The sequence below is a fragment of the Homo sapiens genome, chromosome 10, assembly GCF_000001405.40.
Source record: "Homo sapiens chromosome 10, GRCh38.p14 Primary Assembly".
NCBI lineage: Eukaryota > Metazoa > Chordata > Mammalia > Primates > Hominidae > Homo > Homo sapiens.
In genome coordinates this window covers 8456237-8474693 of record NC_000010.11, presented here as the reverse complement: position 1 = coordinate 8474693, position 18457 = coordinate 8456237, and positions in this window count along the sequence as shown.

Below are 18457 nucleotides of genomic sequence, written 5' to 3'. Positions count from 1 at the left end.
GAGGCTGAGGCAGGAAAATCACTTGAACCTGGGAGGCGGACGTTACAGTGAGCTGAGATCACGCCACTGCACTATAGACTGGGTGACAGAGTGAGACTATGTTTAAATAAATAAATAAATAAATAATATTCAGAGAAAGCAGAATTTGTGTCAGGTCAGTTGCCATAAAGTAAATTTTACCCAGTGCAACACTATCAATATCAGTGCAACAATGCAGGGGTCAAATGTTCATATATTTACTACAACATGCAAGGGCATAAATGAAGACAGGAGGAATGGGAACAAGTTTTTTAAATCCTCTAAATTAGACCTGTTAGAGGGAAACACACCTGAAATAAAAGGTAAAGTGATCCAGTGTAAACTCGTTTTATGAATGTGAATTTTGGCAAAATACCAAGGTATTTGGAAACTGATCAAATTCCTTTTACCTCCAGGAAAGAACAGTAGGGAGGTATAATATCTTCATTAATCAAGAAGAACATATCCAAAAACCATCTGAAAATATCCATAATTTCTTGGATTATGCATGCAAATAATGGCTAGGAAAGTTTTTTTCTCCTATAATATTGTTTTACTTGGTGAGGGTTGAATGGAGGAACTAAGAGGAACCACAGATTTGTAAAGCAAATACAATCAGAGAGGGTGAGGCTGGATGCAGTGGCTCACACCTGTAATCCCAGCATGTTGGGGAGATGAGGTGGGAGGATCACTTGAGGCCAGGAGTTCTAGGCCAGCCTGGGCAACACAGCAAGATTCCATCTCTACAAAACAGAAAAGTTAGCTAGGCATGGTGGCCCATGAGTGTAGTCCCAGCTACTCAGAGGCTGAGGTGGGAGGATTGCTTGAAGCCAGGAGTTCCAGCCTAGCCTGGGCGATAGAGTGAGATCTTATCTCTAAAAAGAAAGAAGGAAAGAAGGAAGGAAAGGAAGAGAGAAAGAGAGAAGAGAGAATTAGCAAATAAAAAATATAGTGAGTTTCTGGAGAATTTCATCAAGAACAAACATGGAATTCTAATCTTTATTACCACATGAAATTCTTCCTGGGTCACCCAAGGAAGTTGGACATTGGATGTTGGGTAGACATGGCTTAAGACTCAACTGCTTTATCTATTAATCCTGTGAGTAACAGATAATAATAAGGGTAATGAATCTTTTCTACTTCAAAAAGATGTTTTGCATATAAACTAATTAATGATGATAAAGTGTTACATCTTATTAAGTTTATTATGATCATTTTCTCATGATGAAGAGATAGATTTTGAAATGTGGTGTTCAGTAGGTGGCGTTCTCCCCTCTGGATCTACAACAAGTTTCAGCTGTGCTCTAGAGACCATCTCTGACACCTTGTTGCTTCTGACTGTCGAAACAATAGTATTTACTACCATTTTCCTCCAGATTCATGAAACACTTAAGGTCATAGCTAATATTTGATTATGACTTGAATATCATTTGCATAAGCTTTGACATTTGCTCCATAAGTAAAATAGTATGTCATCAAATCTATATTTTCAAGTATATTTCTACATATTATATTAATTCTAAATTGTATTAATATAAATAAAATAAATATATAAACTAAATTTATATTTATCATATAAAATATATTTATGTGAATATATACATATAACAAAAATATAAGAGTAGCCAGCATTTAGTTAGGTACTATTTAATTGCCTTATATTATTTGATTAAATGCATTCAACAGTCCTTTTTCTTTAACATTGATAGAAAATTAATTTACTTTTTTTCCATTTCATATGAGCAGGAGCATTGAGTTCAACTTTCTTTTTAAGTACTTTGGACTAGTAAATACTCAAAACAATGCCACCAGACTCCCTAAATACCTTGGTCATGGGCTGTTTCACTTCATCAGAACTGTCTGAATAAATCTGCAAAGGCAATTTGTTTAAAGATGCATCTGTCTCCAGTTTTCATTCATCTTCATCGAATCCAACCAATTTATCCCAATTTTTGGTTTAACACAATGAATGGATCTAGGGTCTTTGCATCTGCAATGAGCTCTTTAGCTTAAGCACATCTGATGTGGTTTGGATGTTTCGTCCCCTCCAAATCTCAGGCTGAAATGTGACCTCCAGTGTTGGAGGTGTTTGGGACATGAAGGCAGATCCCTCCTGAGTGGCTTGGTGCTGTCCTTACGGTAGGAGTTCCCAGGAGATCTGGTTGTTTAAAAGGACCTGGCTCTCTCTTGCTCTGCCTCCCGCCATGTGCTGCACCACGCCCCCTTTGCCTTCTGCCGTGAACATAAGCTCCCTGAGGCCTCACCAGAAGCCAGACAGATGCTGGCACCGTGCTGGTACATCCTGCAGAACCGTGAGCCAAATGAGTCTCTTTTCTCTGTAACTCACCCAGCCTTAGGTTCTTCTTTATGGCGATGCAAAATGGACTAATCCAACATCTCTAGGGGAATTTTTTTTTAAATTTCACTTTACAGATGAGTAACTGAGGAGCAAAGATATTAAGCAACTTGCCCACTGTCACACAGTAGACTGGAGCCAAATTTGAACCCAGATTTCATAGTCTGAATCTAAACCCAGCCTCTGAACTGCTAAACCTCACTCCCTCCTGTACCGCCTACACAAAATCCAATAGCCAGGACAAAATACAAAACACAATTCATTTTGAACACAGAATATAAAATTTACGTTTCTTTTATGACAATGATCATGGAAAATTGTGATTGATATACGCAAAAATGTGGTGATATTTTGGAACTATTTCCCTAAAAAAAGTTGTAGTTAGATTGTTTGGATAACAAATAAGCTTTTTGTTTATGTAGACAACTATATGTTCTCCTACTGCTAAATTTATAAATGATGTTTTTGTTTTCCTTGCCTATTAATTCAAGGAGTGTCTGTATAAGGAACAGCTTGGGAGGGAGGAGCAGCCAGAAATGGATTATTGGCTTCAGAACTTCTGGATGAAGTTTCCTGGAGATAATGACAATGCCAAGCCTCTGTACTTTTCCTCCCCAGGTGGGGAGTTTGGCCCCAGGACATTGTTCACGTGATGGAACTTATTGGCAAGTGAACACAGAGAAATGAGTGCAGACAGTTTCAGAATGCCAGGTGCCACTGTATTATCACCTTGAGTATTTTAATCCTACTAGCAACATTTTGACCATCAACCTTTATATATACTACTGAATTATTATGTGACCTTCGCCAATAAAACTATAACACAAATTTTGATTCAGGTTTTATTTGTCTTTTTCCCCAATATAGAATATGATCAATAACCAAAAAAAAAAAAACAAAAAACCCAAATATATGGGCTCTGACCTGTCACAAGAATATAGGAATCACTAAATTGTTTTAAAAAGATAACACTTAGCTATAACTGCAGATTTTTTTAAGTTCATGAAGGGGTAGGCTTCATGAAAGATGTACCAGGAAAAAAAATAATGGTTCTTGTCCTCATATAAAACTCACTGGGGCCTGATTGACAGTGGAGGGTAGAAGATCAAAAAACTACCAATTAAGCACTATGCTCTTTACCTGTGTGACAAAATAATCTGTACGCTAAATACCCGCAACACGCAATTTACGCATGTAACAAACCTGTACATATATCCCCTGAACCTAAAATAAAAGTTGGGGGAAAAAAAAAACTTAATTGCAGACTCAAAGAAATTGGAAAAGTAGTCCCATCTTTAAAGAAAACCAGGAAACCCTGTGGTTTCTGCTTTTTTTTCGCTTTTTCAATGATGACTGATAGAATTCTTGCTGTCTATAACCGAAAAGCCTAGATCACACTGAAGTAAGGAGGGATTCCGCAGTTCAGACATGAACCTCATCTGTTTTTTTTTTTTCCTTTCTCTTTTGTACCTTCTGCAGGGCTGGCTCATCCCACAGCACCCTATATGTCCCCAATACTGCCACCCCTCCTTCCAGAATACAAGTTTTCTTATTTATGGCCACAGGAAAGGGGCTCGGTTTTATCTTTAAAATAGAAATAAACTGGGCATGGTGATGCACGCCTGTGGTCCCAGCTAGCGGGAGGCTGAGGCGGAAGAATCACTTGAGCCCAGGAGTTTGAGGCTGCAGTGAGCTATGATCGCATCACTGCTCACTCATTAGTTCAAGTTAACTAATTAATTAAAAATAAATAGGACTCAATCAAAAAATGTAAAAGATGGAGAAAAGAAAAAAATAACTGAAATGCATTTTAAAATGCAAATTATATAGATAGGCGGAATATGTTGCTTTTCAAGAAATAGGTCAGAATCCTATAAGAGCCATAATTGTGGATAACAGGGCTGTAATGAGTCACTAAGGAAAAAATCAGAGATACTAGGAGAGGTTTCAGGTTGTTGCAGGGGGAGTGGTGGTCGATTTTGCAAACAGTCTCTCTTGGGAAACATCCTTTTGGCGGCTGCCATGCAGCATTGCATTTCTTTTTCTTTTCTTTTTTTTTTTCGATTTTTTTAAACTTTTAAGTTCAGGAGTACATGTGCAGGTATGTTACGTAGGTAAACTGTGTCATGGGGGGTTTGTTGTCACGGGGGTTTGTTACGTAGGTAAACTGAGTCCTGAGGGTTTGGTTATTATTTCATCACCCAGGTATTAAGCCTAGTACCCATTAGTTATTGTTCCTGATCCTCTCCCTCCTCCCACCCTCCACCCTCCGATAGGCCCCAGTGTGTGCTGTTCCCCTCTATGTGTCCGTGTGTTCTCACCATTTAGCTCCCACTTATGAGTGAGAACAGCAGCATGGCATTTCTTTCTTTTGAGACGGAGTCTCACTCTGTCGCCCAGGCTGGAGTGCAGTGGTGCCATCTGGGCTCACTGCAACCTCCACCTCCCGGGTTCAAGTGATTCTCCTGCCTCAGGCTCCTGAGTAGCTGGGATTACAGGTACCCGCCACCACACCAGGCTAATTTTTTGTGTTTTTAGTAGAGACGGGGTTTCTCCATATTGGCCAGGCTGGTCTCGAACTCCTGACCTCAGGTGATCCACTGGCCTTGGCCTCCCAAAGTGCTGGGATTACAGGCGTGAGCCACCACAACCGGCTGGCAGGGCATTTCTTACTGTATCTAGGATTGGTGAGATGGCCCCTGGATATGATCCTTCTGCTGAGGTAAAAAAAAAAAAAAAAAAAAAAAAGTGGCTGGGCTTTGAAATAGTGGGTCTCACATTGAGTTTTAAGGTGCATAGTTACTGAATTGTGACAATTAACTCTCAGCAGGTGACACGGGTTAGATAAATCACAATGTTATATACTCTTTAACACTGTATTTTGGAATGATATATATTTTGTACCACTACAGTTTTATAACGACATTTTCTCAAACTTATTTCAAGTTCGTCAAAGGCCATCTTCAAACTTGAGCTTAACAAAACACCCTGAAGAAATTCTAAAGGGACAATCAACAGAAAATTCTGAAAATTTTTTTTAATTTTTTGCCTTGAAATGGTAAAGTCCCATAACAACAGCTTGAATGGATTAACTTTATCCCAGTCACATATACAAGTCACTTATCTATAAATCACTTATGTAAAACATGTATACTTGGAATGACTTGAAAGAAACATGAAATCCGTCTCCATTATCTCACCTGTAAAGTGGAGATGATAACACCACCTCTAACTCATTCGGATGAGGAAAATGTATGTGGAAGTTAGAGCTCAGAAGAAAAAGCTGTTAGAGCACACTTGATTCAAATACTTCTCTTTAAAAAAAATTTTTTTTTAATTTATTTAGAGACAGGGTTTTGCTCTGTTAGCCAGGCTGGAGTGCAGTGGAGTGATCAAAGCTCACAGCAGCCTTAACTCTTGGGGTCATGTGAGGCTCCCACCTCAGCCTACCCAGTGGCTGGGGCTAGAGGTGTGCACCACTACACCCGGCTAGTTTTTTCTACTTTTTGTAGAGACAGGGTCTCTCTGTATTGCCCAGGCTGGTCTGGAACTCCTGGTCTGAAGCCATTCTCCCACCTTGACCTCCCAAAGTGCTGGGATTACAGGTGTGAGCCACTGCCCACAGGTGTGAGCTACAGGTGTGAACCACTGCACCCAGCTTTTTTTTTTTTTTTTTTTTTTGATTTGGTGAAGCTATCATCGTCAAGCTAAGATACAGTTTCTGGAGGAATATACTGAGTAACGAGAGAGAAGGAAGAGACACATGCATAGGGTTAGGGTTAGAGCTAGGGTTAGGGTTAGGGTTAGGGTTAGGATTAGAGTTAGGGTTAGAGCTAGGGTTAGGGTTAGGGTTAGAGCTAGGGTTAGGGTTAGAGCTAGGGTTAAGGTATCAACACAGAGAGTCAGCCTGAAATCAGACTGCCCTCTGCACCTCTGAGTTCTATCACTCTGAGAAACATTGAAGTATCGCAGAAATTCAGAGCAGAAATTCCCGTTCTGAAAACTTCAAGTTGAATCTGCAGAAGAGGGACAGTTAACGCTCCACCCATTTTGGATATCCCCCCCCTTCTCTGCTGAAATGTTCACGGACCAGGGAATAGTCTCACATTCTCTCATTGTTCTCTAATCCACCAATCCAGTGGAATAAGCACATTCCTACCTTGGGATCTTTTCTTTTTTTTTACATTTTTTTTATACTTTAACTTTTAGGGTGCATGTGCACAGCATGCAGGTTAGTTACATATGTATCCATGTGCCATGTTGGTGTGCTGCACCCAGTAACTCGTCATTTAACATTAAGTGTATCTCCTAATGCTATCTCTCCCCCTGCCCCCACCCCACAACAGGCCTACCTGGGGACATTTTCATTTGCTTTTTTTTTTTTTTTTTTTTGAGATGAAGTCTTGCTTTGTCACCCAGGCTAGAGTTCAGTGGAAAAATCTCAGCTCACTGCAACCTCCACCTCTCGGGTTCAAGTGATTCTCATGCCTTAGCCTCCTGTGTATCTGGGATTACATGCACCCACCACATAATTTTTGAATTTGTGGTAGAGAGGGGTTTTCACCATGTTGGCCAGTCTGGTCTCAAACTGCTGACCTTCAAGTGATCTGCCCACCTCAGCCTCCCAAAGTGCTGGGATTACAGGCGTGAGCCACCATGCCTTGCCACGTCTTTGCTTTCTTCTGGTCTCTTCTTAGGTGAAACTACCATGGAGGCCTCTCTTGACCACTACCTTAACATAACAGACTCCACTTTCCCCACCCTGCACAGCATGTCATGCCCACTTTCCCTGACTTCCTCAGATGCTTCTGGCTTATTTAACAACCAGCAGTCACTTATCAGATGATTCCTGTATGCCAGGATGTGCTAAACAATTCATACACCATGATTCTAAATCCTCTCCATGGCACTAGAAGATAAATATCTCCATAGTACAGAGAATGGCACTGATTTTAGAGAGATTAAGGAACGAGCCCCAAATCACGGGGCACAACCACCAGGTAATCCACCACCAACCAACATCAATTAACTGAGCATCTACTATGTGGAAGGCATTTTTCTGAGTAAGAATATAAAATTGGCCGTGCTTCATCTCTGCTTCTGAAGGAGCTTCCAATCTTAGTTGAGAAGAAAAGCCAGAACAAAGCTTATCACTATATGCGACAAGTGAATGGAACAGACAAGAACTGCAAGAATTCAAAAGAGGGAAGAATCTGTGTAGAACAGAGGCAGGGAGACTTCACAGACAAGATGAGACTTGAACAACTGAAAAGGAAAAGTATCATCTTAATAAATGGAGGGGCAATCCAGGCAGGGGAGAGTTCACTTTTAAAAATGCATTGGTTCGTAGATAGATAGTATATTAAACAGGCTCTAGGTAAAAGTAGATTTTTTAAAAAGGAACTTAAGAAAACCAGATATCTGTATTGCTTTTTAAAGATATTCAGAATAAATCTAAAACACATATAGATGGAGGATGTTGTGAAATGATGTATCTGTGTAAACTAGAAAAAATGAATGGGTGAGAAAGCACCTGTTGTAATCCTCTTTCTGTTGTCTTGGGGGAGAACTCCTGTAAGATTCCAGATTTTTGTGTAGTAAACTGGAGTTGCTGACTATGATTTTTATATGTGTACATTTCATCTTGTCACAGAGTTCTAAGAAGAGTTTTTCCCCAGACAAGCACTGGTAAATGACATTTATTGTCTCCATGATTTGAGTTCAAAATTGGTTCAGTTTTACAAGTTAAAACACCATCCTTCTAACTGCCAACAATACACACTCAACCTGGGATTTGAAAATCCTAGTGGTAGTTTTCTGCTTCTTACCTCATTGTGACCTGCAAGAAAGATCCTGTGATGAAAAGTTAGCTGACAATTGAGTTTGTTATGCCTGTAGCAAAAATATCCAGTGCCTTCTCCCATAGCTGTGCTGCTTCTGCCCTTCAAAACAAGTGTTTCACTTGTTTCAGATAGCAAAGTTGCAAAGTGTTTCTTGAGACAACCAAAGACTAGATCGGTGGTTCTCAACCTTGGCTGCTCAACAGACTGTCTGCGGGGTGAGACTTGGGTATCTACATATTTTTAAAGCTCCCAAGGTGAATCCGACGTAGAGCTAAGGTTCAGAATCATTGTTCCATTTTTCTGGTGGTTTCAACCCTGCATCACCTGAGAGATTTTACAAAAACATCAACATGTAGATGCCACCCGGCAGAGATACTGATTCCATTGGTCTGAGAACAGCAATATTATAAAACTCCTAATGTCATTCTAATAGGCAAAGAGTGTTAACTCTTATTGATACTAATTTCATATTGTCGTTTTCATCATGCATTTCTTTATTATGAAAGTGTTGGTCAATTATAGTCAGGCCCTCAGTAATATGAAAACCCAAAAGCAAAGGGCTAATGCTGGCCCCAAGGTTGGGAAGGAGAAGGGGACTCCATCTTTTGACCCTGGAGTCCTCCTCAAAATGTGTTTTTCAACCAATTAGACAAATTATAATACCTAGACCAAGGCTAACCACAGGCCAGATATTTATGGTGAACATTTGGCAAGGGTAAGTTCTTTGTTTTTCAGAAATTTCAGGTTCAGAAATATCAAGCCTGCAAAAAATTTTCCCTAAACTCTTGTTTGGGCCAGAAGAGAAGGGAGATGGGATTTTTGGATTCTCCTTATTTTGCAACCTTATTTTTAAACATAGAAAATAAAAAACCTTTCTTTTAGGTTCTGGGGTATGTGTGAAGATTCGTTACATAGGCCAATTTGTGTCACCAGCGTTTGTGGTACATATTATTTCATCACCCAGGTATTAAGCCAGTACCCAACAGTTATATTTTCTTCTCCTCTCCCTCCTCCCACCCCTACCCTCAAACAGAACCCCCAGTGTCTGTGGTTCCCTTCTTTGTGTTCTTGAGTTCTCATTGTTTTGCTCCCACTTATAAATGAGAACATGGAGAACACGCAGTATTTGGATTTGCTTCTGCATTAGTTTGCTAAGGATAATGACCTCCAGCTCCATCCATGTTCCCACAAAAGACATGATCTCATGCTTTTTTTACGGCTGTAAAGCCTTCTTTTTCTCCTCTCTGCTGATGGCACAGGACTATCAAACAGCCTGCTGATACTTACATTCTGATATCAACTCCTAATACTCAGCATGTCCAAAACCAAGAGTATCTTCTACTCCCACTAGATCATGTCCACCTTGTAATTTCATTATCCCTAGAAGTGGCACCACATGGCACCACAATATTTTTTCTGCCCAGACTCAAAGCTCAGTGCCACTTAGTGTGGCTTTTCTTGTTTTCCCGGTCAAATCAGAAAACGCATAATGTAAGTTATTCACCTTACAGATCTAATGTCCATTTGTTCCTTTCCAGCTCTACGATCTACACCACACTAAACTCTCTTTCTTTTCCAAATGTGAATTATTGAATCTTATCATCCTATTTCTCCCTCACTTCCCATGTTTAGTGTCTTTCATACGTCACCGGCACACTACACTTGCTTAAGTATACTTTTCGCCTTGTCACTTTCCTGTGTATAAACCTCCCCTGTCGGGTGCGGTGGCTCACACATGTAATCCCAGCACTTTGGGAGGCCGAGGGTGTGGATCAAAAGGTCAGGAGTTCGAGACCAGACTGACCAAGATGGTGAAACCCCATCTCCACTAAAAATACAAGAAAGAAATCACCGGGTGTGGTGGCAGATGCCTGTAATTCTAGATACTCAGGAGGCTGAGGCAGGAGAATCTCTTGAATCTGGGAGGCGGAGGTTGCAGTGAGCTAAGATCGCGCCACTGTACACCAGCCTGGGCGACAGAGCAAGACTCTGTCTCAAAAAAAAATACCTCCATTTTCCACCACTCCTAAAGGAAGCCTTCTTTTTCTCAAGATACATCATCCATGGATTTTACGATACTCTTCATATCTTATATTCCCAACCAGTCCCATAATCATTTCTTTCCTTATTTCTCCATTATCCCTAGACTGGCCTCCACACTCCCTTCTCTGCCCCCAAATCCTCTCTATGCTTACCTTCCTGATAAGGTAGATATAAAAGCCACTGTCTCAAGGCGCATTGTCTTAAAGATCAGGGCAAGGATTTACCCAGGCTGAAGTTAATGGTTAGATGACTAACCCTATCAAGCTTATTATAAACTACATTTTACATTTGGGACAGAATCAAGAACACCCATGGGAGCCAGCTGGAGTTGACACCCATTTCCACTGGAACCACCTACGTGTTTTCAGTTCTGCTGACCCAGATTCTGGGACTCTTGTCAACTTCAACAGCTGCTTATTCCAGGGAAATTCAGAGGAACAAGAATCAGAAGAGAGTCATGCTCCAGAACCATGGAGCCCTGAAAAGTAGGGCCTCCCAAAAATACGGTAAATAAAGATTAAAAATCAAAGGAAAGTACAGCTTGCCTCACATGAGTGGGCCTGCGATCTCAGTGAAAGACAGTCGAGACCCATGAAGCATATACAATATCATGAAGCACACGACATGAGCGTTTGTAATTTGAACATTTATAGGGGACACAGAAAGTATCCGTTGTTTGGAATTAATTTTACAGGTCACTGCTGTTACATGAAATCATTCTGGATGGCTCCTCTTAGGATGAAAAAGTTTGAGTGGCAGTTTCCATGGGGTTTCTGCGGAAAGCCAAAAGCCTCCCTGGAAAAGAAGCACTGCACAGCATGTGATGGCTAGCAATGTGAAATTGCCCTGTGGTCCCGCACCTTGTGAGAAGGTCCCCAGATCATTCCTACAAGGGTTGTGTGTTTGTGTTTCCATTTTCTTTTCTTTTTCCTTTTTTTATTTTATTTTATTTTATTATACTTTAAGTTTTAGGGTACATGTGCACAATGTGCAGGTTAGTTACATATGTATACATGTGCCATGCTGTTTTGCTGCACCCATTAACTAGTCAATTAGCATTAGGTATATCTCCTAAAGCTATCCCTCCCCCCTCCCCCCACTCCACAACAGTCCCCAGAGTGTGATGTTCCCCTTCCTGTGTCCATGTGTTTCCATTTTCAATTTGGACCTGTCAGGGTATGCCGGCCAGGGCCAATTTTTATCTCCCTGTGATGTCAGATCTTTGTAGGATTTTTGTTTCTTTTCGATGTTGAATCACCCGGTGTTGTATATGGCTGTTCCTATTAATAAAATGTGTTCTGCTGACTTTGGGGATCTATTTCTTTTCATTATTTTCAAAAGAAACATTGAATTGCTTTTCCGGAGCACAGTTTTCAATCCCTTCTGCCTTTTTCTTGCACGTACGCTGTTGTCATTGAGGTTACGGAGCTTGGGAAGAAAAGAAATTTCAAGAATAGAAGTGGAAGTCATGTTATGAATAAAATGTATGTGATGAGTTTTTTCACCAACAGAAAGCAGCTTTCCTGATGCCTTCCACAGTTGAGAACATCCTCTGGGCTCCCTTTACACCACGCTTGGTTCAATCGTAGCACCTATTATCCTGCATAAAATTTCCCTCCTTGCCTCACTCTGTGTTTCCCACTGGGCAGGAATGTCCTTTAGGATGAGAACTGGGTCATTTATCTGCATTTTCATTGCCTGGAACAGCACTCTATAACTGTTTGTGGAATGAATCAGAGATATAATTATGTGCTTTTACACGTACAGGAATTGGAACACATATTTATATAAGGATATAATGAAAAAAGAAAAAAAAAATGGAACTATGGTAAAATGAAAAGGAGATGCTAGAACAGAAACCAGTCCCTGAGGTGGGTAAAATATTAGAAAAGGCTATAGGAAAATTTGAGGCAGTTGGCTTTTACTTCTCAGAAGCACGGACGAGTTCATACAAGAAAAACTAACATGACAGGGACATTCTTCTGTAAGGCCAGCTGAGATCATACACCTAGTGCCCCTCCTGTAGTGACAAGTAAAGGGACCTGAAGTTTTTCAGTCAAGGGAGGAAACTGTCACAGGGAGTGAACCAACGAAAATAGTTGAAAAGGTTGAAAGTGAAAGGGTTAGGGTTTTTATTGGAATGTAGTATGTGCACTAAAGCTTATCTGTGGACAAACTTTGGATTTTACGAAAATCAAATAAAGCAGACTAAATCGAATGAACTTTTTGGCACCAGCTATAAATACTGTGGTGGTATTTGAAAATAGGTATCTTAGGACCTCTCCATAAGGAAGCAGAGATCTTTGCAGGAGCTCCTTTGAAATACCCCCTCAGAATGCAGGGTTTGAAGTGTTCTGAGGAGAAGTTGTACATAGTTTTTAGTGGGTGCAGACTCTGGAGTCGGACGACCTGCATTCCCATCTCAGATCTGCTGCTACTGGCTGTGTGACTGCAGAAGGTTTTTAATCTCTCTGAACCCAGTTACTTCCCATGAAAGATGTGGTACCCATCTCATTTGGCTTTTGTGAAGATTCAACAGATTGACATGTAGCAAGCAGTCCACAGATACTGGTTGTTTTTGTAATAATCATTCTATCTAGTATTGTTTCAACTTATGTTCTACAGAAGACCATTAGCTGCTATTCAGTAGCTCCCTAATGAGGCTACCGATGCTGAGAGACTGCTGGTATATCTGTAGGTCTTTACTTCTGACACCAGGGGAAAAGAGTCTTGTCTTCCCAAAAATGTTCTTGCATGGTCCAAAGGTGATGGGTCAGTAAAAGAAAAAGGAAAAAAAAAAAGGTGATGGGTTTGATAGAGCATGAATCAGAATTAATCTGATTAGTCTGATGATGAATTGATTTGATCAATAGTTCATATTTTTGATGCAAAATATAAAATATAAAATTTCAAAACAATGGAGGGAATTAAAGGGTTAAAAGACAATAAACCAAATTGTTAACTGATTTTATCTCTGGGCGAAGAAATTACATGTCATTTTTCTCTTTCTTGTTTATACTTTTTTTTTTTTGAGATGGTGTTTTGCCCTTGTCACCCAGGCTTGAGTGCAATGGTACGATCTTGGCTCACAGCAACCTCCACCTCCTGGGTTCAAGAAATTCTCAGCCTCCCAAGTAGCTGGGATTACAGCCACATGCCACCATGCCTGGCTAATTTTTTTTTTTTTTTTTTTTTTTTTGTATTTTTAGTAGAGACAGGGTTTCACCATGTTGGTCAGGCTGATCTTGAACTACTTACCTCAGGTGATCCACCCACCTCGGCCTCCCAAAGTGCTGGGGTTACAGGTGTGAGCCACTGCACTCCGGCTGTATTTTGTATATATTCCACACTTCAGTCAACATGAAATCCTAGGGGACAGGAGGATAAATTAATTTCAAATCATCAAGCTTATCTCAACAGAAGTTTGATTTTATTTTCTCCATTTACTGTTTTTTTTTCTTTTTTTTTTTTTTTCCATTATCTAGTGTTTTAAGACTGTTATCACTCCAGGAATGAATCCTCATACTTTATGTGTCAGACATAAAAATTCCCCAACAATGAGATTGCCAATTTGAGAGCCCAGGCATACTTAGAACACTCCTAGGGAATGTCCCCTAACATGTTTGACTTATCTGGAAAAATCATTGACTTTCTCTATACAGGCTTAGAGCAGGCTGTGATATTCTTTGTAGTATCTAGACATGACCACAATCACATTTTGTTGTTGCCTTGCAGGAAGGAACATATCTGAGATAGGCAGTTAGAAAGAAATTCAGGCCAGGCATAGTGGCGCAGGCCTGTAATCCCAGCACTTTGCGAGGCCGAGGCGGGAAGATTGCTTGAACTCAGAAGTTTGAGACTAGCCTGTACAAAAAATAATAAATTAGCCAGGCATGGTGGCACATGCCCGTAGTATCATTTACTTTGGAGGCTGAGATGGGAGGATCAATTGAGCCAGAGGAGGACAATGCTACAGTGAACCATGATCATGCTACTGCACTCCAGCCTGGGCAGCTGAGTGAGATCCTATTTCCCCAAAAATAAAAAATAAAATTAAAGGCCAGGCGCAGTGGCTCAAGCCTGTAATCCCAGCACTTTGGGGGACCGAGGTGGGTGGATCACAAGGTCAGGAGATTGAGACCATCCTGGCTAACATGGTGAAACCCCATCTCCACTAAAAATACGAAAAAATTAGCTGGGCGTGGTGGCAGGTGCCTGTAGTCCCAGCTACTTGGGAGGCTGAGGCAGGTGAATGGCATGAACCCAGGAGGTGGAGCTGGCAGTAAGCCGAGATCGCACCACTGCACTCCAGCCTGGGCGACAGAACAAGACTCCGTCTCAAAAAATAAAATAAAATTAAATTAAATTAAAAGAAATTAAAAATAAAAAAAGAAAGAGAGAAATTCAGATTAGAGGCTCAAAAGTATCACTGGGAACTTTTAAAAGCCTGGTAAAGCCCATCACATCCTTTAATAAAGCTATGTGTCAAGTAAGAAAGACTTCTTTCTGGCAGCATCCTCTCAGGTTCCAATAATCTAGATATTAAAGACCATTCCCATAGTCCTGATAACCATATAATTTGATCCATGTAGCTGACAACTTTACTATTAGATGACCTTGAATGTCCTCCAAGGGTCCTTAGTCTCATCCCTTAGAGGATTTGTGTTTAAAGAACATGTCTAGATTGTTTTACTGATAGGAATTCATAACACACCATCATGCTTTATTTTAAAATAAGACATATTTTGCTTATAAATCAACATCATTCATTCCATTAATTCTAGGCACATTTTTCCCCATGGAAAGTATGAAACATATGGCTCCAAGATGAACTATGGTCAGAAAAAGAACCAACATGGAGACTACTTACAGAGATAGAATCCCAATTTGAAGAGTTCATTTTTCCGTGATGGTGTGGCTCAAAAGAGCAGCAAAAGATGCACATTGTTGTCTGAGCTAACCGTCTATCTACATTATGGACAGCAAGTACCAGCACTGACATGGTGCATGTCTCCTCCATGCTCTGCCATTGAAGCCTCAGGGCCCAGCCCAGCATGGAGCGGGGTCTTAGCATTTGAGGTGAGACTCATTTGCCCTCCCTTGTCTTCATCATTATGATTAACCACGTAGTCATGAAGTTTATATTTTTACTCTTGAACAATAAAGACATTGAAGCATGGAAAAAACTAAACACCTAAAATACCCAGTGCTTAACTTTAGCTCACAAATCCCAGTAATTCCGTTTAGGATTATGGAATCTTCTGACTAGCTGACCATTTACCACGCCCCCCACCACTGCCCCAGGTAGCTAGAGTGAAGGGCATTCCAGCATCATATTTATTAATGCCACCTGATGTCTTAGAGCAGGGAATATTATATATACAAGGCATAGGTAATAAGAAGAGATGCAAAGGAAAGAAGGATAGGTTTGTGAATAGACCATGTTCTGTATGTCCATAAAATGACAGAAAAATGCCAAAATGGAGCCAAAGGTCAGCAAAAAGGACAAGATGAAGGGTTCACAATTCAAAGAGAGGCACACTCAAATTAAACAAGACATTTATCCAAAGGAAGCTGGGTGACAAAACACACTGAGTGTGGATGGCTACCAAAAAGGAAAAAAATCAGTGAGGTCGGGAGTGGTGGGTCACGCCTGTAATCCCAGCACTTAGAGCCAATCACTTGAGGTCAGGAGTTTGAGACCATCCTGGCCAACATGGTGAAACCCCATCTCTACTAAAAATACAAAAAATAGCCAGGCGTCTGGTGCACACCTGTAATCCCAGCTACTCAGGAGGCTGAGGCAGGAGAATTGCTTAAATCTGGGAAGCAGAAGTTGCAGTGAGCCAAGATCATGCCACTGCACTCCAGCCTGGGCAACAGAGCAAGACTCCATCTCAAAAAATAAAAATAAATAAAAATCTGTGAGATCCCAGGCAATTAGGAGTGCAGGGGTAATTCAGGTACCTGGACCTGAGTCCCAGCCTGACCTTAAATGGCTGTGTTTCCTTGTCCAACTCACATAGCTCTGTTCCTACACTGTTTCATGCTATGTAGGAAGGAAAACCTGGAAGTCAGTAAGATAAGGACGACTGGGCAAGGTAGCTCATGCCTATAATCCCAACGCTTTTGGAAGCCAAGGCAGGATGATCACTTGAGCCCAGGAATTTGAGACCAGCCTGGGCACAAGACCCAGCAAGACCCCTGTATCTACTTTAGAAATACACATATAGGAGGGAGCCCACTGGTGTTAGTGAATCTAGCAACGCCCTAACGAGTAAATCCTCTGCAATTGAAACTCCTCCACAATGGAGTTAGCCACATAAAATGAAACATCACAAGTTGCAGGAGAGACTGAACGCCAGCTCAGTGGAAATGCTCTACAATCTTTATGTACGTGCAGCTGGCCAGCAATGCGCTGCCACGAGAGGCTTCCAGGTGAAGAGTAGGTGAACCGACTACAGAGAAAGATGTTAAGCTGTTACCTGGCCTTTCCAGCCTCACTGCCATGGCCATGTTTTCTTCTTACACTTTATATTAACTACTAATGCAACAAAAATAGGAAAAAGACACTGATCATTTCCACGTGTAATGAATTCATTCATTCATGACATTTCATCATCAATGGTGTCAAAGAACTCCCTCAGCCAGACATCTGCCTTTAATTTCTAGCCATGGAATTCAAAGATTTTAAGCTTCATTGGAGGCATTTCTGACAATAAGCAGATAGACAACAGGAGTAGGTTTGAGGAATTTTCAGTGCAATAGTAGTTATGAGCCTAACTTTTTTTTTTTTTTGACAGGGTCTCGCTCTGTCACCCAAGCTGGAATGCAGTGGTGCAATCACAGCTCACTACAGCTTCAACATTCTGGACTCAAACAGTCCTCCCACCTCAGCCTCCCAAGTAGCTGGGACTACAGGTGCACACCACCACACCTGGCTATTTTATTTTATTTTATGTATTTACTTTTTGAGATGGAGTCTCGCTCTGTCACCCAGGCTGGAATGCAGTGGTGTGATCTCGGCTCATTGCAAACTCCACCTCTCAGGTTCAAGTGATTCTCCTGCCTCAGCCTCCCGAGTAGCTGGGATTACAGGTGCCCACCATCACACCTGGCTAATTTTTATATTTTTCTGTAGAGACAGGGTTTTGCCATATTGTCCAGGCTGGCCTCAAACTCCTGGACTCAAGCAATCCTTCCACCTCAGCCTCCCAAAGTGCCAGGACTGCAGGCAAGAGCCATTGCGTCTGGCACAAGCCTAGCTTTTAAGGGAACTGATTTGTTTTTTGCTGGGGAGTACAGGGGAGAAGGACACTCTGAAAGAAGATCCCACAGTGTCTTTGCTTTCTCCTCGTGAGGACACCCTGGCACCTGACTGGCTCCAGATAGCCTCATCCCAAAAATTGTTCCAAGCAGAAAGTGTGTGGTCTGGCTTGGTATCCTAGAGGGGAACACCCAGCACTCCCTCCAGAAGAGGCTTCTCAACTCTGCTCCTTTTACCGTCTGCTTTCTTGACTTTTAAGCTTTTCTTTGTCATTAGCTTTCCAGAAATATATTCTATGTCTTCTAACATAATTGGCCTATTTTAGCCTATGTTAAATTGTAATTTTCACCACAATGCCCCTCTAAGAACCCTATGACATTTGTATTTTTCCCACTCCTATAATCAAAACTCTTAGGCATCACAGAGAAACATTAAAACACATCCTATATATTATTAGAGACATTCCCATTTTTAGCTTTGCTACCTGAGTGTCCACTGAGAAACATTTTGTCCTCATTAGTGTGGAGAATACAAATAATTATGTCATCAGCGTCTATGTTCAAGGAGCTGAAACACTAACTGACTAAGCCTTAGAATGAACCAAAACGAACAAAACACTATTCATTGCCACTCATCTCTTCCTTAGAGTTGAAACCTAAGCTAATTAATTATCGACAAGTTACAGGTCTCAAACATAGCTTATGTCATGATGTTAGCCCAATAGCCCATGTGTAAAATAATGTAACATTCTAAGAAGAGAGTTAGGAAAATCACCCACAGCCAAAATAGAAAATATGTCAACTTCAGGCTTTGTTTTAATAAGACTTACTCAGTATTTTGTTTTGGTTCTTTGTAACCATTTTCATCTAAACAACTTGTTGTTATGTTTCTGTATTTATCGCAGTAATCATCAAAGGTCTGGATACGTTT